The sequence below is a fragment of the Homo sapiens genome, chromosome 4 (assembly GCF_000001405.40).
Source record: "Homo sapiens chromosome 4, GRCh38.p14 Primary Assembly".
NCBI classification, from domain to species: Eukaryota; Metazoa; Chordata; class Mammalia; order Primates; family Hominidae; genus Homo; species Homo sapiens.
Genome location: NC_000004.12, coordinates 25,329,995 through 25,357,383, shown reverse-complemented (window position 1 = coordinate 25,357,383; position 27,389 = coordinate 25,329,995). Strand labels below are relative to the sequence as shown.

The following is a 27,389-nucleotide window of genomic DNA, read 5'->3' as shown; positions in this document are numbered from 1 at the left end:
GTATCACAACAAGGAAACTTTCAGGTTAGATCACATTTGAAGCCCTGTGTTCAGTCACTACATTTCAGGAGAGACGTTGATAAAACTAGTTCATTTCTTTGAAAAATAATGGGAATGAACAGAATTTATAGCTTAACAAATTGGGGATGTTTATCCAGAAAAGAGATGACTGGGAGGATCTGATAGCTATTCTATAACTGAAGGTGTGTCATATGGAATAGCAATTGGACTTATCCTTTATTGCTTCAGAGAATAGAACTAGGACCAATGGTTGGAAGTTAATGGGGAGCATATTTTATCTCCATATGAGAAAATTTTCTAACGATTAGAGCTATTAAATAAATTGCATTGCTTTCTAAGGCTGTAGTCCTCTGCTCACTGGAAGCATTCAAGTGAAGCTGGATGACGGCTGGTCATGAATTTAGTGGAGAGGATTATTATGTTGGGAAGTCAGCCTACGTTACCTGTTTCTTTCTAACTTTGAAAATTCTATGAATATGTTATCTATTAGAGGCTAGCATACAAAAATAGATTTTACTACAAAATCACCTGAAAATAGTACCATAAGTCATTTTCTTTTAAAATCATTTAAATTCATAATGTTTCCCCTAATGCACTCCTCTGTGTACTCAATAAATATACGGTACCTTATTAAACTCAACAAAGATATTTTGAGCATTTATGAGTGTCATAATAAAAAAATTCTTCCCAAGAGATTCATATGAAGCTTTTCAAATGTTGGAGAATAATATTTTAGAAAGGTTTCTAGTACATGGAATATTCTATGCAATATACTAGATAGCAGATGGAAGAGAGGGAAAAAAAAAGAACAATTTCTTTATGGTTACCCAAGGAGTCAGCGAATGTATGTGTCAGGAAGGTGGTTGATTGCTTGACTTTGCATAACCTAATTGAGATTATTATTATTTTTAAATGCGGGTTTGTTGTGCTAATTAACTATAAACATATGGTATGTAAAATGCATGCTGCTAGAGTAAATTAATGTACCTCTAACATATATCCATATTTCATAGCTTCAGCCACACAAATAAACCTCCTATGGAAGTGCTGTAAAGCAAACACAATTTTGCAAATTGCCTATCACTAGTAGTAGAGCTGATACACCATTTTCCCATCATTATCCCTGACATTTCACTCACAATGATGATGAGAGGCATTTTCAAATAGAAAATTTCTCCCATGGAACTGATTTAATGTGATGAAGTACTGTATAGAAATGAGGGAAAGCACAAAATCTCTGCAATTTCCAATTTTTAATTTTATCTATACGCAAATGTCTTCTGTAACATGAGACTGAAACTAGTTAAATGGAGACCGAGACGTCCATGTCAACATTTATTTTGTGCCTACTATGTTCCAGGTATCAGGCCAGGAAAGAAAGATTAAATAAGACAGAGTACTTGCATTTCTGTAACTCCCTAAGGATTGTGTTCTATTGGATTTCAGCACACACACAAAGTCCCCAGTACCTTCTTCTGCTCCAGCAACCAGCTTCTACCACAGCAGCAAAGTCTATCATAATACCCATATCCCATAAGCTCTCATTTGAAATTGACATGCGGACATCTTATACCCCTTTTTACTTCAAACCCACTACATGTTTTATGTTTATTACAGATTAAATTTTAAGAATTTTGGTAGCCATCTTTTAATTTGCAATAATTTTCCAGAAATTGCTGCCAAAATATCTTCATTTCTGACTGTGAAACTAATCTTGAAAAACATACTGTCCTAACAGGCTGATGTTTAAAAAGGATAGCTTTGACAAAAGCAAAGAGCTATATTTTTAACACCCCAAACAAGTGTCCCATATTAAGTACATACAAGAGAGAGCAGAACATCTCAGGTGGAAAGGAGGTGAGATCATCTAATTCAGACACAGAAAATTCAGGACATGAACACCACCACTCCCTGACCCCACCCCCATGGTGGACACCACTAATCACATTACTCTTTGCTACCAAGCCTGGTATTCTCAACAAATTCTCCAGAAAATCACTAGCAATTTATCAGGCTTAGTACCAAAAGAGAAACTTATCTACCATCTCTTTTCTGATTCAATCATTTTATTTTATAGGTAAGGAAACAGAACCTGGAGAGATAAAGTGACTTCTCCCAAGATTAAGTGGTCTCTAAAAGGCAGTGCCAGGACTCAGACTTCTGACTTGAAATCAGAGTTTCTTTTCATCATCACATCCTTCCTTTCTAATCTGTTGTTAATAAAACTCTTGGTTTTCTAGGTCTTTGATGACTGTTTTATTCTGTATTCATCAAGTGCTTGATCACTGAAGAGTCTACATAATTTATGTTTTATGAAGATTTGCAGCATTTCTGCCTTCCTCTTACCTGGGAAGTATTTCCAAAGAAGGGATTTAGTGATTTGGGGTTTTTTACTGCATTGTGGTTTGGGGGCTTATAATCATCTCAGGTGATGTCCAAAAAAAAAAAAAAAAAAAAGGCCTAATCAAGGTCTATGGGAAAAGATCTGTGAAGGAGAGGGGACTCAAAGTTTTCATTCAATGAAGGCTAATATACAAGAAAAAAAAGTACCACAAAATGAAGTTAGGCCAGGCATGGTGGCTCACACCTGTAATCTCAGCACTTTGGGAGGCTGAGGTGAGAGGCTCGCTTCAGCCCAGGAGTTCGAGACCAGCCTGGGCAACACAGAGAGATCCCATCACTATTTAAAAAAAAAATTTTAATGAAGTTAAAGTAACAAAAGAAAAAGAGGAAAGCAAAATGCTCAGAAAGGAATAATAGGTCCAGAGAAATTTTCAAAAAATAGAAAAATTGTCCAAGAACGTAATCAAATAATGTTTATAAATACATGAGGAGATACGGCACAGTTTCTCCAACATGAGCATGTAATGGACAGTACTGTTCTTCCCTTTAGCAGGAATTAGGAAAAACAAATTTGCTTTTAGACTTTGTTCTCATTTTTTTTCCCAAAGGTTGGCTTTCTCTTTATTGAGAAGACTGCTTTTTAGCCTGTCAGACACATATGACCTAATCAGAACCTTTCTTCATCAATACACTGAAGTGCATAATTATTGTCCACACTTGGACCTTGCAACTATTTCTCAAAACTGTAACCCTAATATTTCCAAAAGTTCTTTCCTAGTAACACAGACTGCCTAACAAGTGACAGCTGGTTACTCCAAAATTGCCTCTCTCATCTGCTGTATTCTGGATCTGTCTTCTTTTGTCCTCTCACCATTTCAAACTCTTGCCCATAGTGAAAAAAGAAAAACTCCTCTCTAAATATGGATGTAACAGTTTTCTAAGGGCACGAATTATTAGGTTGGTGCAAAAGTAATTGCGGTTTTTGCCATTAAAAGGAATGAATGAATTAAAATGAATGGCAAAAACTGTAATTACTTTTGCCCCAATTTATACAATTATGCAATTTTAATCTCTCAGATTTATCAAAAAAGGACCTGAGGGAGAGTTTTACCCCTACCTTGGGACTATCTGAATGATGACAATGACAGTGATGGTGATGACAATGCCGACAGCAAGAACCTAAACTTAATACTTGCTGTGTGTTAAGGACAGGGCTAAGCCTTTCCAGGTATTATTTCATAAAATCCTTAAAACCTTAAAAGACAGATATATTGCCACATTCATTTAACAGGTAAGATAAGCTTCAGAGGGGTTAAGTAAGTGCCAGCACCAGGATTAAAACTCAGATCCTTTTTGACTCCAGGGTTCATGCTATTTCACTCAGTTATCCATTTGACATATACATGGCACCTACTGTGTGCCAAACATTGCACTAGATGACCATCCATTGCCAAAGGCGGAAGATGCTGCTGAAAACTAGAACCCGTTTACGTAGTTAACTTCTTTAGAATATGTCAGCTATCTCCGTATTGCAAATGTCAATACTAGAAGCATCCCTCAGACAAGAAACAGAAAACTTGATGCCCCAAAAACGAGTTAAATGAGCTTTGAGAAGACTTATGATATAAATTTTGCTCAAAGCAGAGCTCAAGAAGTCAAGTATAAAATGGCTTGTGCTACACACTTTTAGAACAAAACCTGTTAATGCTACTTAATAGCCATAAAAAAGTCCATTATATTTGATAAAGTAATCTCAGTTTTGGAAATCTATTTTAAGCAAGTTATATAAAACATGAAAAAATTATATGCATAAAAGGTGTTTACAGCAGTGTTATTTATATTACCTTAAAAGGTAAAAACAACCTGTAGTCCAAAAAGAAGGGAATAGCCTGTAAATGAAATAATTTATTTATTAAAGCATAAAGATTGTGTAGCTATGTTTAAAAATGTATACTTATAAGACATAATGAAGAAAGCAGAATTCAAAATTGTCTTCTACGATTACAAACCTGTAAAAAGTACTCTTAAAAAAAGATTAAAAGTGAACACTTTGAAAGTACAGTGTCTGCTGTTTGGGTGGAATCACAAGTAGAGTCTTTTACTCTCATTTTTGGTAACACTGTTTCTTTCAGAATTTTAAAATAATTTTCATAATGGTATATGCCTTCAGGATTAGAAAGATTAGAACCAAGTGCTAGCTTGCAACAGCTAGTGAAGACATTTACAGCTAAAACTCTGCCTTAATCAGGGGCTAGTCGATTATTCAGAAAACTCAAATAGAAAACTCTTACAAAAAGAGGAAGCAGGCTGGGTGCAATGGCTCACGCCTGTAATCCAGCACTTTGAGAGGCTGAGGCAGGCAGATCACTTGAGGCCATGAGTTCAAGACCAGCCTGGCCAACATGGCAAAACCCTGTCTCTACTAAAAATACAGGGGAAAAAAATTAGGTGGCCATGGTGGCACATGTTTGTAGTCCCAGCTACTCAGGAGGCTAAGGCAGAAGAATCGCTTGAACCTGGGAAGCAGAGGTTGCAGTGAGCCGAGATTGTACCACTGCACTCCAGACTGGGTGACAGAGTGAGACTCTGTCTCAAAAAAAAAAAAGAAGCAGTACCTGCCTGAAGACCATAAACAGTGATGGCGACAACAGGGTTAACTTCAAACACAAGGGAAGAAAATACAGGAAAGTGGAGTTTAAAGCAGAATGAACTTAAAAGACCAGGTGGAGCTGCTGTGGACAGCAGCCTCATTCTCATTTCAGGCAGGGGGAAAATTCCATAGTCATTGCTGTGAAGTTACTCACTCCAGTAACTTCCTCCCGGAATCAACACATTCACACAGAGCCATCTCTGCCTTCTCTGACACTCCTGACATCCCAAGAGTGATGCAGTAAAGTGTGCATGGCATTTCACCAACCACAAAGGTGATTTACTTTTCTATATGCCCTGAAAAGAGGAAACCAACGTTCATAATGATGAACCAGGGGTGGGGGGGCTGCAAAATCTCCTAGTGATGATGAAAGACTAAATCAGCCGCTCTAAACCCTAGCACACTTGGAGTCACCCAAGGAGCTTGGTGAGATATTTTTTCTTGGGGCTTTGTCCTCTAATTCTGATTTAGTGGGTTTATTTTGGTACTCAATCTGTATTTTCAACATGCACTCTAGGGATTACTGATATTTAGAAAACACTGGACTGAGCTATATATGGTATAATATTAGTGTTTAATACAGCTCATTGTATTTTACTAAAATCAATGAATAGTCTTATATCTATTCAAGTAGAATCTCCATTCCCCAACCATGCCAGAAAACAGAATATGTACTCTACCTGGTAATCCAGCATCTGGAAGCTTGGAAAAAACTGACAAATTCGGGATTCAAAAAAATAGGGGAAAATCCAGAAAATGGGTAGTTCTTTGTGACTGTCATCTAATGGATCACAAAAAGGAAAAAATAATAGTAAATTAAAGAAAAAATAGAAGGCTACAGTAGAAAAACTTCCGCTAGCATAAGAAATTGCAATGATTCAACACATTTAAATCTCATACAAAAACAGAAAATATTTACCAGAGTGCCATTTCAAACCTGTCTATTCCCAAAGGTCAGTGGACATATTCCTTTATATCGAAATATAGCTACTAAGAGTATGTAAAAGTAACCCTTATATGTATATTACTATTGTCTAGGTAAGGCAAAGATGTTACCTAAAAAGTTGAAAATAGAAAAGGAGTGCCACTTTTGAGGCACAAAGGTAGTCATGATGCAGTGAAAGGACCTCTGGACTAGAAGGCAGTAGGTCTTCGGTGTGAATCCCAGCTCTGCCACAACTCATTATCTTAGTTTTCAGGGATGAATCAACCTTGTCTGCATCATGGAAGATTCTTCAAAACAGTTTTACCAAAATTAGTGTTTGTGAGAGACAGGGAACACAGCTATTACTTACAAAGCACCTAGTATAGGCTAGTATTCATTATAGCACTATTACAGCTAAAATTCCAATAGGCTGAAAAGCCTTAATCAGAGGCAAGCCTAATCATAGTGCTTACACTAAGCTATAATAAGTACATTCTATGTACTGTCTCCTTACAATAATCCCTAGAATTAGATGTTATCCCATTTTACAGATAGGGAAACTGAAGCCATAAGCTATCAAGTCCAATGCAGCTAATAAGTGGCAGAACAGGAATTCAAGCCCACAAAGCTCTTTATTGCTTCCCCAATGACATTGACTTTATCCACTCTAATTAGTGGACTTAAAAACAGCAAATAAGTGAAATACTTAACAATATGAGTCACGTTTTATATTTCATTTGCATTGTCCCTCAAAGCACTATTAGTGGAGAAGCATGATCACAAAATTCCTGACACTCTTAACAAATTTATCAACTTGCGAGCTAGAAAATGTTTCTAAAAAATGAATGTACCAACTAATTAGATAATTATATAAAATACTTTGAAGTCCTAAGTCACGCCTGTAATCCAGCACTTTGAGAGGCTGAGGCAGGCAGATCACTTGAGGCCATGAGTTCAAGACCAGCCTGGCCAACATGGCAAAACCCTGTCTCTACTAAAAATACAGGGGAAAAAAAATTAGGTGGGCATGGTGGCACATGTTTGTAGTCCCAGCTACTCAGGAGGCTAAGGCAGAAGAATCGCTTGAACCTGGGAAGCAGAGGTTGCAGTGAGCCGAGATTGTACCACTGCACTCCAGACTGGGTGACAGAGTGAGACTCTGTCTCAAAAAAAAAAAAAAAAAAAAAAAAGAAGCAGTACCTGCCTGAAGACCGTACACGGCTAAGTCACTTAAACTGAATAATAACCCCCAGCCACTAGCCTACCTATAGGGCTGGGAATCTGTGTCACTGATAACCACAATCAGCCTATGGGATGTCTAACCTCCAAACTCATATCCTGGCAAAGCGTAGAGCCCTGGACCTCAGGTTGAGTGCCCTCTTAGTGTTCTGGGCCAGGCTTTAGGAACAGGGAATGTATGATCCACAGGGCAGAGGTATGTGTCGGCTTTGTTCAAAAATCTATTCCTAGTACCTAAACAGTGCCTGGCACACAGTGGCCACTCGGTAAATATTTACTGAATAGAATGACAGCAGTTCACTGCTGTTCTGCATAATGTCCCATTATCCCCATCAAAAACATAGTATTTTACCTATAAGCCATTAAAAAAATCCACATGATTAGAATAATACAAAGTATATCATGATAATGAAGTTTGCTGCAACATCAAATAAGCCTGTTTTTAAAAAGAGAACTCAAGACATGTATATTCTATCACTGCTCTGATTCACTGAGCTCAGCTAATATTTGACAGGAAGTAGATATATAGATATGTATTTATTTTGCAGTAATAAATTATACACCTTGGCTTTGACCTTCTTTCCACATAGCAATTAACTTCTTGAATGTAATAGCCAGAGGTTCAACCAAGCCACCAAACGGAGGATCCGTCACCATAATGATTCCTTCGCCTTTATCTTCCTGTAAAAATGCTCTGCATACTTCAAGGGCAGTCTGGAACAAATAAAAATTCATTTCTAAATTAGGACTAGAGAGAGGCACTTCATCCTATTTGGAGGAGAATGCATTAGACTCAGTCTCTCTCTTAATACTGGAAACTTTACCAAGTCATCTTGCCACCGCAGCATTCCTCAGTGACATTCTGAAGCCTCTCTTTGCTCCTATGAGATTTTATCTTTGGGTTCTTTGATAAGCAGGTTTTTAAAATTGCAAATTCAAACACCATCACTATCAGAAGACTACACATTTCAAATGGTTAAATTAAAAGGCTAAATTTAATGTCCTAAAAGAAACTCATTACCCATGAAAACTATCTAAAATGTTAAATTCAATTTAACAAACAGAAGCCAGGATGGTGCTAAGCACTGGGCACACAAAGACGAAGAAAACATTGTTTTCCTATCTGGTTTGTCCAATGCCATGAGTTCAGTTTAATAACAGCTACAAATTAGCAGTTAAACATGCATATGTTTTTGAGTATCAGGCAGACATATTTGAACATGCACTGTAAGTAAATAAAAAATGAAAGTTCACAAACGACAAAGCGCATCTGGTCCATGAAACCATGCTATTAACACATTTTCCCAAAGGTTAATTTAAGCTTTTTTAGTAATTGCAAAGTAAACATTAACAGGGACATTTAATGGTTTTTGCTATAAGTGAAGTTATTAAGAGATACCATATAACAGTATCTCCACTCAACTGACTTGCAAGTAGCTTTCAAGTACAGTCCCCTCAGTATCCCTGAGGGATTGGTTCCAGGACCCCTGCATATACCAAAATCTGCAGGTGCTAGAGTCCCTGATATAAAATGTTGTAGTATTGCACATAACCTATGCACATCCTCCTATATAGTTTAAATAATCTCTAGGTTACTTATAATACCTAATACAACGTAAATGATACATAAATAGTTCTTAGACTCTATGGTTTAGGGAATAATGACAAGAAAAAAGTGTACATGCTCAGTACAGTCACCACCATCCTTTTTTTCCTAAATATTTTTGATCTCCAGTTGGTTGAATCCACAGATGCAGAACCCACAAGTGGGGAGAGCTGACTGTACTCATCTACAAAAATAAGTCAACACAGTATACAAAATGACATGAGATTTTAAAATTGAATGGCATTTTAAACTTTAACAAGCCTATATGTATTTTATAATAAAATATATTTTGTTCTACCGCGAAATCAATTTAGAAGATCCCACTGATAAGAGGAAAACCTTTCTCCCTAGGAGAGTCTTCATTAATTTCCTACTGGAACTCCTACAGCAGAGGATGACTTGTCAAGAAGGTTAATCATTTTTCAAGTGCTGTCTGGCACTTCCTTAACCTGCTTACAAGAACAAGGACTGAAAGCACAGATGATGATATTGAAATCTTCAAACTCCTTAGAGTTAAAAGTAGAAAAAAGAAATTATACAAGTAAATGATGTCTAACTCCTAACCTAACTTTAAAAATATTTTTAAAGGATTTTTTTTTCCAGGTAAGAATCAATGGCATCATAGCCAAACACAAGCTGCTGATGGTCTTAATGTTGATCTCCTGTGGGAAATAGATACTTGCTTACAATGTTGACAGTAATTTGACTCTTTCCTTTATCTCAGTTATCATTTAAAAAGTGCCCGGCAATTTAATTAGCCATCCTCTCTACATACTTTAACTGACTTTGCCATTAAGGCAGATGACATTTTTTTAAAGACTCTATGATTTGCAATGAGAAATCCTATGCAGGGAACTCCAGCTTTTGAATCTAGTGGACTGTAAAGTGCTGAGGTGCACTAGCAGAGTATTCTATTCTCCTAAGCACCCTGGACAGCCTCAAAGGCACTGAGCCGACACTTAAATACTTAGTGATTGATTAGTGGATGGTAAATCTCTACTGAAAAACTTGACTCTGGGAGTAGGTAGAAAAAGGGCAGATAGTAAAATCATTAAAACAATGGGTTTCTGCAGATCAATCTCTACAGCTGCAGTGCTATTTAGAGGCTGCTGCTGAAATATAGAGTAAGGAAAGCCTGAGCTGGACGACTCTTTTCTTCAGGGAAGATAAAGTGGGGCTCAATCTTGGCAGCTTATTCCAACCATTATTGTAGAAACTTATAAGGTAATGCTGTACACTTTCTATAAGCTACAAAGAGTTTCGAAAAAAAGGCTAATTACCTGTTACTCTTTAAAAATATAAAAAATTGCTAGCCAACCTTTAGGTATTTAATTTTATCCTTATTTTGTCTTCATTGTTCAAAATAAAAAGCAAAACCATAGTATGGTATTAAAACAGACAAAAAACAAGAAAACCCTAACTCACTAGTGTAGGATCAAGAAGTGATTCAAACTCGATTACTTCCTCATTTACTACGACACAGCCCTGACTCCACCTGACATCAAGGTCCTGTGGTTTCAAGGGGGACACCCCTACATCAATATCCTACCAACCCCACAAACTCAACCTTTCCAAACTTCACTTCCCTCTGTTAGAAGAAAAAATACAAATCCAGGCCATTCTACCAAGTCAGCTTGGACTTCTCCCTCAGTACAGTCTTCTCACTGCTTCCGTGAATGCCTAGACAACCCAGTTCTTTTCTCTCCTTTTCTCACTGCCACTGTCCCAGCTGCGAAGCCCCTCATCATCCACTGGCAAGTGACTTTCAACTCCCATTTTCCTTCACATTCACCTCAACAGTTCTCAATTCTTAGTGATTAGCAACCACATAAACGCTTTGGGAAACAGCTGAAATACATCTAATTATAACTGCTGTTTATTTCAATACCTTGTTTTAATGGCTTCACAGCTGAAAAATATTAATATATATCCCAATGCTAAATTGATTCAAATGGAAGGAGTGCTATACTTACTAAATCAGGGGACTCATTTTTCAATCCCAACCAACAATTTAACATTTGTTTTCATTTCCTGAACGCTGACTTTTAAAGTCTTGCTTGGTTTTCATCCTCCTATCATTAGTTAATATCTCAAAGCACAATACATAGTAAGCATGGTTCAGAATTTTTACAAAATTGATATATATGCATATATTTATGGGTATGCTTCAAGGTGTCTTGATAATTTCACAATATTTTTGGCCAGCGTGATTACTTGGTTGGTTACAGATTTTATTTTATAATAGGCCTGACAAAGAGCTTAAACTAAATGTATCAGCTCTACTATGCTGTTTATTCTCAGTGACATTATTAACCTCAAATTGAAAGAAGCTTTTTTAAACTGCAGTCCTTTTTTTTTTTAAAGAACTTTTATTTTTTAGAGCAGTTTGAGGTTCACAGAAAAAGTGAGAGGAAGGAATAGAGATTTTCCGTACACTCCCAGCCCTGACACATGCATTTAATTACAGTGTGGTAAGTCTACAAAGGAAAACTTGACCCTTTGGGGAGTAGGGGTCGGGGGAGGCTGGAAGAAGTGATTTGGAACAAAGTTCTAAAACATGAGTGGAGGTTATCAAGGCAAAAGACAGCAGAAACCAGCAGGAACAGCATGGACCTTCCCTGCGGTGGAAAGGCGTCTGACCAGTTCCAGATGAAAGCCCTGTGCCCTGAGCACAGACAGCAAAGGGGAAACAGGGAGAGGGGAGGCTAGAGTGGAAATCGGGGTCAGATCACACAGAGCCCCACGGGCCTTCTAAGAATGTGGGCCTTCATCCAAAAAGTAGTGAGAAGTCTTAACAAGGGAATAATAAAATCACCTCTAGGTGCTCAATAAACAGTGAAAGAACAAAAATAAATATCAGTAAATGGTAGAACAGCCACAATTTGACCTTGAGGGAATTTAGAAAAAGAACAAAGGAGGCACTCTGAAATCTGTTATTCCACAATAAGAGAACAATGAGATAATGGTCACAGCTCTTACCTTTCCATCAAAGAAATGATGGTTAAACATATTATAATGGCAAAAGCTATCTTCCATATAAAACTGTGAATACCTGTAAAATAATTACAGAGTTATTTGCCCAGTCACAGCTATAGAGTAGACAAATATAAACTAAATTTTAAAACAATAAAATCACACCTTTAAAAAATTTCATTTTTTAGTTTTTTGAAATAAAGAATAATTTGCAAAAATTTCAGGGAATCTGTAACAGTGAATAAATAACAAACTTAAGTGATTTTCCCATGTTTAATTAACCAGTAGTAAAACCAAAGAATACTCATATATAAAACACACATGTTCCTATGTACCAGGAGGTTATACATAAACAATCAGGTTACTGACAGATGATTATGCAATTTAAGCTTGCAATGGGTTGGCAATTAAGATACATCCCTCATGGTTAATAATTTTAAGGAGAATACTAAATCAACATTTCTGCTTGACAGCTGTTCATTTATTTTCTTCTGTAGCTGATTTTTTTTTAAGTATTTAATACAGGCCGGGCACAGTGGCTCACACCTGTAATTCTAGCACTTTGGGAGGCTGAGGCAGGCAGATTGCTTGAGCTAACGAGTTTGAGACCAACCTGGGCAACATGGCAAAATCCTGCCTCTACAAAAAATACAAAAATTAGCCAGGCGTGGTGATGCATGCCTACGGTCCCAGCTACTATGAAGGCTGAGGTGTTAGGATGGCTTGAGCCCAGGAGGCGGAGGATGCAGTGAGCCAAGATCACACCACTATACTCCAGCCGGGACGCTATAGCCAGACCTTGTCTCAAAAAAAAAAAAAAGTAATACAAATTTTTTTTTTTGTCTAACGCAGGCTAGCTTAATAAAATATGCTTTTCAATATAATAGAGAAAGTATATGCATTTCATATTTACTAAATCAGTGCCAGGAAAGAGGAATATTTATTTACTGATTGAATTATTTTGTTTTGCTAACACAGTGTTTTATTTTATTTTATTTATTTTATTTTATTATTATTATACTTTAAGTTTTAGGGTACATGTGCACAATGTGCAGGTTAGTTACATATGTATACATGTGCCATGCTGGTGTGCTGTACCCATTAACTCATCATTTAGCATTAGGTATATCTCCTAATGCTATCCCTCCCCCCTCCCCCCACCCCACAACAGTCCCCAGAGTGTGATGTTCCCCTTCCTGTGTCCATGTGTTCTCATTGTTCAATTCCCACCTATGAGTGAGAACATGCGGTGTTTGGTTTTTTGTCCTTGCGATAGTTTACTGAGAATGATTTCCAATTTCATCCATGTCCCTACAAAGGACATGAACTCATCATTTTTTATGGCTGCATAGTATTCCATGGTAACACAGTATTTTAAAAAGCCATTGGCAGTGCATGAGAGTACCACCTTTGGGTATTAACATTTTATAAATTCCTGCTAATTTACTAGGAAAAACTCATATCACATTATGACTTAAATCTGCATTTGACTACTTATAAGGTGGAACTTTCTATATTTCTTAACTGTATTTGTACCGTCTGTCCATATGTTTTCCCCATTTATGTATCTGGGTCTTAATGTCTGCGTTGCTGATTTCTCAGTTTTCCATATAATATAGAAACCTTTTTGTTATCTCAATAGGATTTTGAACTCCAACTATTTTATTACACATAATTTACATATGACTCACATCATCCTTGGGAATTTGTAACCTGGTAAAAAGACTGAAAAAAAATCTGAGACACATCCTTACTTATTATGACTTCTTGAACCAAGTCATGACACTGTCAACTTCTTTGCTTGTATTTCTACTCAGTTACCCATTACTGTCTGTAACTGATTGAGCATCCATGGTGAATATTTAATGTAAGGGACAGCACTGGTTTATCCTCTTCCCATTAACTGTGGTTAAGAGCAGAGGCTCTATAGTCAGACGGTCTGGTTTCAAACTATGTGTCTCTCGCTTACTAGCTGGGTATCCTTAGTAAGTTACTTAACCTTTCTGAGCCTCAGTTTCTTCATCCGTAAAATGGTAAAAGTAATAATTTCTACCACATAGGACTGGATAACAATAAGATGATGTATGTAAAGTACTTAATACAATGCCAGCTACATAGCATATACTAAAATGTTAAGTACTGTTACTGTTATTTTAATAATTAGCAGCGTAAATATTTATGTCTTAATGCCTCTCATATTAGGGAATTATGTTTATGTTCACCAGAAATAATCTAAGCCTATTTATTCTTGTTCTGTGGAGATGGACAAAGAGCTGCCAACCATTCTCGGTACAATATCCTTTAATGTCATTTAAGACACTGTTAGCACATTTCCTAAAATATAAATTTGCACTGAAGAAATAAAAGGTTTAGATAACTGGAAAATATTTAAACTATATACCGTAACCTAATGAACTTTCCAAAAATTGACTGTAGGCAATGTCAAATGACCATTAAACAAATATGTCTTCCTATTTAACTAAATTTCACATAACTGCCTTTAAAAAAAGTGTATTAGTACTAGTACAACCATGTGTAAACATGATATCATTTGAGGGTTTTCTTCTCTCTTGCACTGCTTTATAAGTACGACCAAAGGAAAATACAATCCCTTTTTAACATAATCCCTATTGTTGTCATTCCTTCACAAAGATACAACAGTCATTTTTAAAAATTAGAAAAAGGAAATTTGATTTACATGAAACTCAGCACAGCACACCTGTCCAAAACATTCTGGGCAGCAGTGTGCAGAGGAATAGAGAAAGAAAAGCCAAGATTTCAGTTCTAAGTTTCCATCAAATACATAATTTGAGAGCATAATTATTCATATTTTAAATTATGAAAAATCACTCAACATTGCCCTCTTAAAATGAAATTGGCCACAAAGAATTATTCTCTCCATTGAATAAGGCAAACAAAACCAATCAGAAATGCATGCACTTGAAAAATGCTCAAAAGGACATTCATCTGGCCATTCATTCTCTTTAAATGAGAGTCAGTTACCAAGTGTGAAACATGCTCTACACACAGGAAATGTAATCAAGAGCTGAATAAAATTAGTTCATGAAATGAACCTAAGAAATTCATTTTTTGACATAACTTTATTTGGATAATAGTTTGCCAAATAGAGTTTCACATCTTTCATGCTAAAATTAAGCATATAGAAATCCATCTTAGCAAATGTGAACTTCGTACCTCCTACCCCCTAAAAAATATATTTATAGCACATTTATAGAGAACACTGGAGTTTGAGGCTGTTCTCCAACCTTGGATAAACCTGTTGTAAGGCACCAAAAAACCAAAGTCAAAGTGCCAAAAAACTACTCACTGTCACTCTATACTATGCAGAATTTTTTTTCTGATTTAACTGTGGTCTTTATGAGAAATCTGAACCAACCACACACTCCGTCATGCTGTAAATACAGGTAACCAGCCTCAGAGCATTCCAGCAACTTATGTGTCTCAATAAACCAGCTCTCTCTTAAGAACTATTGTTGACCTCTACAGAACTGACTCAATAACAGACTACGTTATCAAAAAAACTGAACTGTGATATCCCCAATAAAACACCATCAGTTTTTGTTTGCAAGGCACACACAAAAGTTTATAAGCATGAAAAAAAAGTATCAATATATTCCATACATTATACAATAACTTTATCCACATCCCCTAACCCCTACTCTGACCAGGATATTACAACTACAGGTGCAAGAAAAGGAAAACTAAAAGGCATGGAATTAAAGGTGAAATAGCTAAGGGGCCATATAAATCTTTCAAATTAAATCAGGCAAGATGAAGAGTTCTGGAGATCAGTTACAAACAACGTGAATTTACTTAACACTACTAAGTTGTATATCTAAAGATGGCTACTATGGTAAATGTTATATGTACAGTTGACCTTTGAACAACACAGAGGTTAGGGGCGCAGTAGAAAATCCAAATACAACTTTTACCTTCTGTGTCAGTCCATTTTGCATTGCTATAAAAGAATACCTGAGATTGGGTAATTTATAAAGAAAAGAGGTTTATTTGGATCACAGTTCTGCAGGCTGTACAAGCATACCACCAGCATCTGCTGGGCTTCTGGTGAGGCCTTAGGAAGTTTTTACTTATGGTGGAAAGGAAAGGGGAGCAGGCATGTCATATACAGCAAGAGAAGGAGCAAGAAAGAGAGGAGCAGGTGCCAAGCTCTTTAAACAACCAGCTCTTGCATGAACTAATAAAATGAGAACTCACTTATTACCTCTATTATCACAAAGACAGCATCAAGCCATTTATGGGGAATCAACCCCATGATTCAAACACCTCCCACTAGGCCCACCTCCAACACTGGAAATCACACTTCAACATGAGATATCAACTCCAAACCATATCAACTCCACAAAAACTTAACTACTAATAGCCTACGATGACTGGATGCCTTACAGATAACAGTCAATTAACACATATTTTGTGTATGTTTTATATACAGCATTTTTACTATAAAGTTAGCTAGAGAAAAGAAAATGTTATTAAGAAAGTCATTTGGGAGGTCGAGGTGGGAAGATTGCTTGAGGTCAGGAGTTCAAGACCAACCTGGCCAGCCAGCAAGTCCCGTTTCTATTAAAAAAAATCATAAGGAAGAGACGATATTATTTAATATTCATTAAGTGGAAGTGGGTCACCGTAAAGGTCTTCATCTTCATAATGAGCAGACTTAGGAGGAGGAAGAAGAGGAGCGGTGGCAGAGGCACAAGAAAATCCACTTGTAAGTGAACCCGAGCAGTCCAAAACCATGTTATTCAATGGTTAACTGTATTTTTGAAAAATTTTTTAAAGTAAATCAGAGTACTATTAACACCACAAAATAAAATTCAGAAAACCATTTAAATTATAATAGCACCAAAAATAATAAAACATCTAGAGATAAATTTAATAAAAGAAGCACAAAACTTACATACTGAAAACTACAAAATATCATTTAAAGAAATTGAAGATCTAAAGAAATGGAAGGACATCTCATGTTCATGGACTGGACAACTTAATATTAAGATGGCAATATTCCCCAAATTAATCTACAAATTCAATGCAATCCCTTTAAAAATCTCAGCTGGCTTTTTTTGTAGAAATTGACAAGCTGATCCTAACATTCATATGGAAACGCAAGACACCCAGAACAGCCAAAACAATCTTGAAAAAGAACAAAATAGGAAGACTCATACTTCCCATTTTCAAAATTTACCATACAGCAACAGTAATCATGACTGTGTAAGAGTGGCATAGGGATGGGCATAGATCAATGGAACAGAATTTAAAGTCCATAAATAAACCTATATATTTGTGGTCCTTTTGTTTTCATTGTGGTACCAAGACAATTCAATGGGAAAAGAACAGTCTTTTCAATAAACGGTGCTAGAGCAACTAGTCATCTACATGCAAGCAGTTAGACCCCTACCTCATACAATAAATAAAAATTAGCAGGCCAGGCACGGTGGCTCATGCCTTTAATCCCAGCACTTTGGGAGGCCGAGGCGGGTGGATCACGAGGTCAGGAGATCGAGACCATCCTGGCTAACATGGTGAAAGCTCATCTCTACTAAAAATATAAAAAATTAGCCAGGCGTGGTGGCAGGCGCCTGTAGTTCCAGCTACTCGGGAGGCTGAGGCAGGAGAATGGTGCAAAGCTGGGAGGCGGAGGTTGCAGTGAGCCAAGATGTGCCACTGCACTCCAGCCTGGGTGACAGCAAGACTCCGTCTCAAAAAAAAAAAAAAATCTCAAAATAGATTAAAGACCTAAGTGTAAAAGCAAAAATTATAAAACTCTTTGATGAAAACATGGGTATAGACACTCATTGGATTAGGCAAGACTTTCTTAGATATGACACCTAACACACAAGCAACTGAAGAAAAAAGAAAAACTGGACTTCATCACAAGTGAAAAGACAATCCACAAGATGAGAGAAAATATTAGCAAATCATATATCTGATAAGGGTCTAGTATCCAGAATATATTAAGAACTTTCACAATTCAACAAAAATACAAATAACTAATTAAAAACTGGGCAAAGGATTGATATTTCTCCAATAAGATAAACAAATGGCCTATAAGCACATGAAAAGATGCTTAACATTACTAGCCATCATGGAATACAAAACAAAACCTCAAGGAGATACCACTTCAAAAAGACAGATGATAATAAACATTGGCAAGGACATGGAGAAATTAGAAACCTCATATATTCCTGGTGAGAATAAAATATGATGCAGCCACTTTGGAAAATAGTTTGGCTGTTCCCCAGGAAGGTAAACATAGTTACCACATGACCTAGCAATTCCACTTCTAGGTATAAGGGCTGAACTGTTTCACCCCCAAAATCCTTATGTTGAAGCCCTAATCACCAGTACTTCAGAATGTGGCTATTTGGAGACAGAGCCTTTAAAGAGGTAATTAAGTTACAATGAGGCCATTAGTGTGAGCCTTACTCCAATCTGACTGGTATCCTTAAAAGAAGAGGAAATTTGGACATAGTAAGAAACGCCAGGGATACGCACACAAAGAGAAGAACTTATGAGGAGACAGTGACCATCTGCATGCCACAGAGAGAGGCCTCAGGAGAAACCAAACCTGCTAAAACCTTGATCTTGGACTTCCAGCCTCCAGAACTGTGAGAGAATAAATTTCTGTTGTTTAAGCCACATAGTCTGTGGTATTTTGTTACGGCAGCCCTAACAAACTAATACCCAAGAGATCTGAAAACCTATGTTCACATGGAATTTGTACACAAATGTTCATAGCAGTATTATTCATAATAGCCAAAAAGTGGAAGCAACTCAAGTGTCCATCAACAGATGAAAAGATAAACAAAATTTGGTATATCCGTATAGTAGAATATTATTCAGCCAAAAAAAGGAATGAAGTACTGACACATGCTACCACATGGGTGAACCTCAAAAACTTTATGCTAAGTGAAAGAAGTCTGACACAAAAGGCCACACAGAGTATTATTCCACTTATATAAAAAATATCTAGAATAGGCAAAGCATATCCATAAAGATAGAAAGTAGATTCATGGTTGTCAAAGGCTGGGGGCATGGTAAATGGGGAGGGACTGCTCACAGGGAGAGTGCTTCTTCTGAAGGTGATGAAAATGTTGTGGAATTAGATAGCGGTGATGGCTACGCAACCATGTGAATATACTGAAAACTACTGTTTTATGTATGTAAAATATATCTCAATTTTAAAAAAAGAAATGGGCTGGGCATGATGGCTCACACCCTGTAATCCCAGCACTTTGGGAGGCTGAGGCAGGCACACTGCATTAGCCCAGGAGTTTAAGACTATCTTGGGCAACAAGGTGAAACCCCGTCTCTACAAGAAATACAAAAATTAACTGGGTGTGGTGGCACACGCCTGTGGTCCCAGCTACTTGGGAGAGACTGAGGTAGGAGGATCGCTTGAACCCAGGAGGTTGAGGCTGCAGTGAGCTGAGATCACACCATTGCATTCCAGCTTAGGTGACAGAGCAAGATGTTGTCTCAAAAAGAAATATACCTAAAATATCACCAGCAGGAAAAGTTTTCAAGGTTATATATCTACTTTTTAAAATGTTTATATGCATAAAAAAGGTTTAAAAAGCCAAAACCCATAATGTTTTGGATGGCAGAATTAAAGATCATTTTTCCTTTTTTAAAAACAAAGTAAACCAAGGATTCTTGCAATTTTAACAAGTTCTTTGAGAAGACGCACTATGGTATCACCTAGTCTCTGTTTGTAAGTAAGTCCACTAAAAATAGCTTGAAAAAGCTTGTCTTTAATAACTTAGAATCATTATATAACTTTTAATGTAAATTCAAAACCATACTATTAGAAAGATCACATTGTACCATTTTCACTGAAGTAAAAGTGCCAAAGTTAGGAACATGAGTGCTGCTGGCAACTGTATACATTGTCTTGAATAGTTTAGTTATGGACATCTGGTTTTTTGTCTCTCCAGCACCTACATCCCTACTCTTTAAGTCGAACACCTGTTTCCTGTGGAGAACCAACTCTGTGTGATTGGTCAGAGGCTGGCTGGAGTACCCCATCTGCCAGGCCACAGTGATGGCTCTGGAATAGGCAAGTGACCCCAGCCAGGCTAATCAGAACACTCTCTGGAGTTTTGCTGCTGGAGTTCTCAGGAAAAACTGCCTCTTTCCACTGGGCAGTTAAGCTGAAAACTAGATAAACTTAAAGCTGCTGCCACCAACGTCCCTGGCAGTAGGAAGGAAGCTGTCTGCAGAATGAAATCAATACACAGAGAAAGACAGAATGAGAGGTGGAGAGAGAAAGAGGGAGCCCTAGCAACATTGTGTGAGGCTCACTATCTCAACTAGACTAAAGCCTGCTATATCCCAGACCTCAGTAATGTAAATCAATAAATTCTCTTTTACGTGATTGGATTTCCAGGTCTCCAAAGAAAAAAATCCTGAGTGCCTTATTCTAAAAATATAAATAACCTAGAAACCAGTTTTGATTCATCTGAAAATCTTTGTGGAACAAGGCAGGAGGATACAGGGAGAAAGGGAGAGATGGAAGGATGACAAGAAAGAAACTGACTATATGAGAAAGGCATATAAACAAGTTTAAAAGCAAAGTTATTTCCAAAGGATAGCTTAGTTTTTGGAGCCAGACTGCCTTGGCTTGAATTCTAGCTTGGCCACTTATAAACTGTGATTTTGATCAAGCTATTTAACCTCTTTATGCCTCAGTTTTCTCATCTGGAAAAATGAGGATGATGATAGCATCTATCTTACAGGGCTAATGTGAGGAATGAGTCAGGGCAAGGCCTGAAATATAACAGGCACTCAAAAAACACCAGCTACACCAGGCACAGTGTTTCACACCTGTAATTCCAGCAATTTGGGAGGCCGAGGGAAGTAGATCACTTGAGGTCAGGAGTTCAAGATCAGCCTGGCCAACATGGTGAAATCCCCTCTCTACTAAAAATACAAAAATTAGCTGCACATGGCAGCGCACGCCTCTAATCCCAGCTGCTGGGGAGGCTGTGGAAGGAGAATCGCTTGAGCCCAGGAGGCAGTGGTTACAGTGAGCTGAGATCGCACCATTGCACTCCAGCCTGGGTGACAGAGCCAGACTCCGTCTCAAACAAACAAATAAAAATATCCCCTATTAATAATACATTATAAGAACCCAAAAGTTAAACTTCTACCTTTAAAATAATGCATTTAGAATAATTTAATACTTTAGGAAAGGAACACAGAATTTAAAAAAAGAAGTTTCTAGCTCCATGCATATCCATACAATCGAGTATCATACAGCCAGCCATAAGAGGCATGAAGTACTGCTACATGCATGGGTGAGCCTTGAAAACATGATGCTAAGTGAAAGAAGCCAGCCACAAAGGTCATAGATTTTATTATTCTATTTATATAAAATGTGCAGAACAGGCAACTCCAGAAAAGAGAGACAGAAAGTGCTTGTGAGGGGAAGCGAACTCTAGGTTTCTTTTCAGTATGATAGAAATGTTCTAGAAGTACCTAGTGGTGATGACTGCACAACACGGTGATAACAACAAAAACCACTGAAATATATACTTTTAAATGGTGACTATTAAGTGAATTATATCCAATTAAAAATAAATCGAGTTTATCTTTAAGAAGTCTATATCATCATTTGTCAAGGGTCACTCATGTTAAGCAGATGTTAGTAAAGTGTGCTAGTGCTGTCAACAAGGGATGAGTGGTTACCAGGCCAGACATATTCATAAGGAATGAGACAGTATAGGTAATTTCTGAGTAATGTGCTTGTGTATGTCAGACAACTTAGAGTTGACTCAGAAATCTAAAGGCAAATAAATTATTAAAGCTACACTTCATTTTATTTTTTTGAGACAGGGGTCTCACTCTGTTGTGCAGGCTGGAATGCAGTGGCGCAATCTCGGCTCACTACAACCTCTACCTTCTGGGGTCAAGCAATCCTCTGACCTCAGCCTCCGGAGTAGCTGGGACTATAGGCACGTACCACCACACCCAGCTAATTTTTGTATTTTTAGTAGCAATGGGGTTTTACCATGTTGCCCAGGCTGGTTTTGAACTCCTGACTCAAGTAATCCACCTGCCTCAGCCTCCGAAAGTGCTGGGATTACAGGCATAGGCCACTGTACCCGGCCAGGCTACACTTTTATGATTATTATCTTTTTTGAGACTGAGTCCCGCTCTGTCACCCAGGCTGGAGTGCAGTTACGTGAACTCAGCTCACTGCAACCTCCACCTCCTAGGTTCAAGCGATTCTCCTGCCTCAGCCTCCCTAGTAGCTGGGATTATAGGCATGAGCCACCATGTCCAGCTAATTTTTTTTATTTTTAGTAGGGACAGGGTTTCACCATGTTGGCTAGGCTGGTCTTGCACTCCTGACCTCAAGTGATCTGCCAGCCTTGGCCTCCCAAAGTGCCGGGATTATAAGCATAAGCCACCACACCTGACCCAAACTACACTTTTTAAACGGACATTTTACACTTTAAAAATCTGTTTAGTGCTTGGTGGCTCATGTCTGTAATCCCAACAATTTGGGAGGCCAAGGCAGGAGGACTGCTTGAGGCCAGGAGTTCCAGACCCCAAATCTACAAAACTTTCTTTTTTTAAAATTACCTGGGTGTGGTAGTGCTAACCTGTAGTCCTAGCTACTAGGGGGACTGAGGTTAGAGGATCGCCTGACCCCAGGAGTTTGAGGGTACAGTGGGCTATGACCATGCCAATGCACTCCAGCCTGGGTGACAGAGCGAGACCCTGTCTAAGAGGAAAAAAAAAAAATCTGTCTTCTTTGTTTTTAGGAAGCAGATCTAAATAAAAGGAAACACAAAGCCTGATTCCTTCAACACCTTCAAGAACACATTAAAAATACTAAGAACATAGTATCTTATAAATTCTACATGAACTCCTGGTATTAAACAATTACAGAAACTGAGAAGAGTACTTCAAATGTACAGAATTATAGACACAGTGGACAATGTATTTACCATCCATGTTATAAGTTAAAGGTATCTTCAAAACTACCACCAGAGGGGAGATTCAAGATGTGTTCCTCCCTCTGTGTCATCAACTCAGAAATCATCAGATGCCATTTAATTCTGACCCTCTCACAAAGTCTATCTGTCGGCTACTCCTCTGCTTTGGGACCTGTCTATCCCCTACTTAGCACTCCCTTCACTCCAGGCTATGTTCAGTGAAAGACAATATGTACAACATCCAGTAAAATATACTAAAAGAAATGTCTGAGTTCTCACACTTCAAAGATCTAATGAAACAAAATCCTGGAAGTCTGATTAAGTATGAGGCAGTTTAGAATTATCTTTGAACATAATATATGAGAAGAAACCTCACTCAATAGAGATTCATCTGTAGATTATAAGCCAAAGACGAACTAGCCACATTCACAGAGAAAATCTAGGAAGCCCACCAGCAAAAGGAGAAATCAACTGCCTCCCTGTTTGAAATACAGATTACATGTTGAATTTATTCGACTAAAAAGTTTCCTCATAACAAATTACTACTTCTAGATGTAAACTAAAGAGTTGTAACAGAGTATAAACAATTAAAAACAGAAAAACATTAAAAAGAAACAGGAGACAATGAAAGGAAATACTGTATTTTGTAAACCTACCGAAAATCAATATCCAATAAAAGGCTTTTAATGTTAGACTTCTTGTCACCTGATGCTGTCAACTTGATCAGCTCATGCAACCTAAAGCAATTAGTGAAAGCAAATGTAATAAGATATTACAAATGTCATAGACAATAAACAAACAAACAACAAAACCATCAATGTTCTTCTGGTATTTATGATATTTCAATGAAACACTGAAGAGAATTTGGCAGGTATAATCAAGGTTTCAATTTTGCAAATATTTTTTAAGAGCAGAACTTATCTGAAACAGAGAGGTCTAAAATTATAAACAATTTAGCAGTTAAATCAGAAAGAATCTTCTCTCATGCATCAGAAAGAAATCTATGAAGATTTTTCTCAAATGGAATACAGGTTGCAAACTCCTTAAGAGAGGGACTGTGCTTTACATTTTAAATACTCAAAGCTTCATGCTATACCTTGCACAGAGTAAGTAACTACTTAATAAAATCTTCATACAGTTTCAATAGTGGTGAGAAGATAATTCTTTAAAAAATCACATGACATACCTTGGTGTTCCAACACACAGTACTCTTCTGAATCCGAGGGCAGAAAGTAAGTCTACCAAGAACTGACAGCTCCGATCAGCAAACAGATACTGGGCATTTGTCTTCTTGTTTTCCAGTGGATAAAGGAGTTGACTGGGCCTTCTTAACTGGGTAATGGACACATTACCCAGAACCTGATGCTCACTATGTTGCCCCCAGTCATCTGGTAACAACAACTGCTGACATGTTTGACAAAACTTTCTCTGAGTCAAGGGCAACTCAATAAACTTCAAGTACCTTCAAGACAAAATAAAACACAAAGAAATATATTTTAAGTTTATTGTTGTAAACACAATGTGTTTTGCTATTTTTAGCATCCAAAAAGTATTTTTACTTCCTAAAGAGTACTGCGTAAAGAAGAAAAGTAGGAAGAAATCTGTGGAATGTTGGCTAGAATTTATGTCTGGCTGCATACCTACAAAGAGGAAAAGGATCAGCAATTTCATAAGAATTGAGACACTCCAATTTAGTCACTGAATGAAGATCAATATCCATTTAAAATGTGAACATAATATATTACTCAAACAACTTAGTAGTAATGACAACTACTATCAAGTTTAAATTTATTGACAAATCCACATGTCTAACTTTTATCTGTTAAACAGTCTGGCTCACTTGACAGTCATTTTAAAATGAGAAATTAAGATCATTCTTCAAGTTCTTATGACATACTTAGCAAGAAAAATTACCTCCTAAAAGAAAAGATGTTTCTCAAAGCTCCTCTGTTCTTAGCAGTACTGATGGAGTTATAAGCTCACCTCCAAAACAACAAGACAATATTCAAAGCCTTAAAAAAGACTACACTGAATATCCCATTTGATTTCTTCCAAGTCACCCTTATATCCAATTTCAAAGTCACCATTTCTTTTTTCTTTCTTTTTTAATTTTATTAGAGATTATTGGAGAGAGAAAATAATCATGGTCAGTATGTTTAAAAACTGCTGGTTTTGTACATGTGATGCCAGCTATGATATCAGTAAGAAAACAAAAGAAAAATAAATAATATGATTGAGGAACATGGAGAGTCAGAAATGTCTAAAACTAAGCAAGTTAAAATAAATAATGCACTAAACAATCCTTATAGTTTGGGAAGAGTCATATCTTTTTTTTTTTTTTTTTTTTGAGATGGAGTCACCCAGGCTAGAGTGCCGTGGCGCAATCTTGGCTCACTGCAGCCTCCACCTCTCGGGTTCAAGTGATTCTCCTGCCTGGGCCTCCCAAGTAGCTGGGACTACATGCACGCACCACCACATCCAGCTAATTTTTCTATTTTTAGTAGAGACAGGGTTTCACCATGTTGGCCAGGCTGGTCTCAAACTCCTGACCTCAGGTGATCCGCCCGCCTTGGCCTCCCAAAGTGCTGGGATTACAGGCATGAGCCATCACATGTGGCCTAGTCATACAGTTTTGATGGAACTAAATTCAGGAACTGCAGTGTAAAAACTGTGAGCTTAACATGTAATCAAAGTGAGTTTTAAACTTTTTATATCTAAGCACAGTTTCACTTCAAAGCACCCAAGGCAGTGACAAATAGATATTCTGAATGGTTGCAGCAAGAAATAAGCTATCGTGCCGGTAATTTAAATGTTTCTATTTCTATGATAACTGTTCTTTTGACAGCTTTATCTAAAACTAGAAAGAAAAAGGAGATAGAGGGATATTAGAAGAAACTTCTTAGTAATTCAAAGTGAGAATGCCAGTAGAAGAAAGGGCCCTATGAAATGAAAGTGAAAGAACCAATAAACACTCTTCGGCAACAGAAACACTGAATTTACTATTACCTCTCATCACTAAGTACTAACAGTGTTGAACAGGCCAGGAACAGTGGCTCACGCCTGAAATCCCAGCACTTTGGGAGCCCACGACAGGAGGATCACTTGAGGCCAGGAGCTCAAGACCAGCCTGGGCAACATAGTTGAGACTCCATCTCTACAAAAAATTTTAAAAATTAGCCAGGTGTGGTGGTATGTGCCTGTAGTCCCAGCTACTTAGGAGGCAGAGGCAGGAGGATCACTTGAGCCCAGGAGTTCAAGGCTGCAGTGAGCTATGATTATGCCACCACACTCCAGCCTAGGCAACAGAGTGAGGCTCTGTCTCTAAAAGAAAAAAATGTTGACAGCTTCCGCAGACAGCTATGATGGAGTAACAGAGACCAGATTTACCATGGGCCTTCAAAAGAAGTTTTAAAAAGACAAAATATATGAAAAAGCAGTTTGAAGATATCGGACAACTAGCAGCCCAAAACAGTGAACCCCGAGGGAAGGGAACAGAGGTGAGTGGTACAGCTGCCCAGCTTCCTGCCTGTGGAGAGCTGGCAGCACAGGGATGGAGAACCGAAACACAGCCCAAGGAATTGATGAGACAGAGCTGAGCACTCCAGGAGGCTAGGCGGCCAGAATTCACAGAAAGAGTACTGGCGAATAACCAGGGAGGACAGGAGAGCAGAAAGCTGTACACTGAGAGAGAGAGAAAAAACGCTCCAGACTAGCTGACAATTCCCCTCGAGTCTTCGGCTGAGTACTGAGCAGCATGTGCACATGCAGAAACTCCCCAAGGCAAGGGAAAGAACCACTGGCCAGAAGCAGGTGGAATTATCACTGGAAAATACACACAGGTCCAGAATGGTTTGTCTCCCAACAAGCCAGAGTGGAAATGCCTCACAATACACAAGTACTCAAGTACTCAGAAGAGCACTGCCTCAGTAGGGAGGAAAAATTAGCCCTAGAACCACGAAAGGTTGCTCAGTCCTGCCTAAAAAGCTTAAAGACAAGTCTTCAAAAGCAGGGTCAGCAAACTTTCTGTAAAGGATCAGATAATAAATATTTGGAGCTTGGCAGGCCACAAAGTCTCTCAGTCACAACTATTCTGTAGTGATACCACAAAAGCAAACACAGCCAAGTGAATAGGCATGGCCAGAGTTGGCTACAGGTAGTAGTTTGCTAAATCCTGCTCAAGAACATCACACTACAACAAGTAACTGTCCCAGAACAAAATCAAAAATACACAAAGGAATTAAAAATATCCAGTATATAACAAGGTAAATCCCATACTACTAGTATCCAATAAAATATTACCAGGTATGCAAAGAAACAGAACAACATGACTCATGATTAGAAGAAAAAAAAAATCAGCAAGGCATGGTAGCTCACATCTGTAATCCCAGAGCTTTGTGAGGCTGAGGTCAGTGGATCACCTGAGGTCAGGAGTTTGAGACCAGCCTGGCCAACATGGTGAAACCCTGTCTCTACTAAAAATACAAAAATTAGCCAGGCGTGGTGGAGCACACCTGTAATTCCAGCTACTTGGGAGGCCAAGGCAGGAGAATCACTTGAACACAGGGACGGAGGCTACTGTAAGCTGAGATCACACCACTGCACTCCAGCCTCAGTGACAGAGTGAAAATTTGTCTCAAAAAAGTAAAAAAT

The 27,389-nt window shown here is 37.8% G+C and overlaps 1 protein-coding gene across 5 annotated transcripts in view, besides 1 other annotated feature; it reads right to left on the bottom strand.

The window, feature by feature from the left end:
* Positions 1 to 27,389, bottom strand: part of ZCCHC4 (zinc finger CCHC-type containing 4) — a 57,610-nt gene that overhangs the window by 13,000 nt on the left and 17,221 nt on the right. For 2 of the 5 annotated variants that reach the window (XR_925324.4, XM_011513835.3), the window contains exons 4-9: positions 23,926 to 24,201; positions 23,396 to 23,476; positions 11,764 to 11,836; positions 7,742 to 7,892; positions 5,695 to 5,795; positions 4,209 to 4,253 (exon numbers count right to left, since the gene is read on the bottom strand). Coding sequence is in view for 4 of the 5 variants with exons in the window: in XM_011513835.3 (XP_011512137.1) it covers positions 4,209 to 4,253; positions 5,695 to 5,795; positions 7,742 to 7,892; positions 11,764 to 11,836; positions 23,396 to 23,476; positions 23,926 to 24,201 (727 nt within the window). In the remaining variant the exon portion in view is untranslated. The other 3 variants (NM_001318148.2, NM_024936.3, XM_017008129.3) reach the window with 3 other exon arrangements.
* Positions 25,817 to 25,886: an enhancer, noted in NCBI's record as "active region_21377". NCBI's record gives its function as "activates an Ori minimal core promoter by ATAC-STARR-seq in GM12878 lymphoblastoid cells {active_cell/tissue: GM12878}" and the evidence as "EXISTENCE:reporter gene assay evidence [ECO:0000049][PMID:35858748]".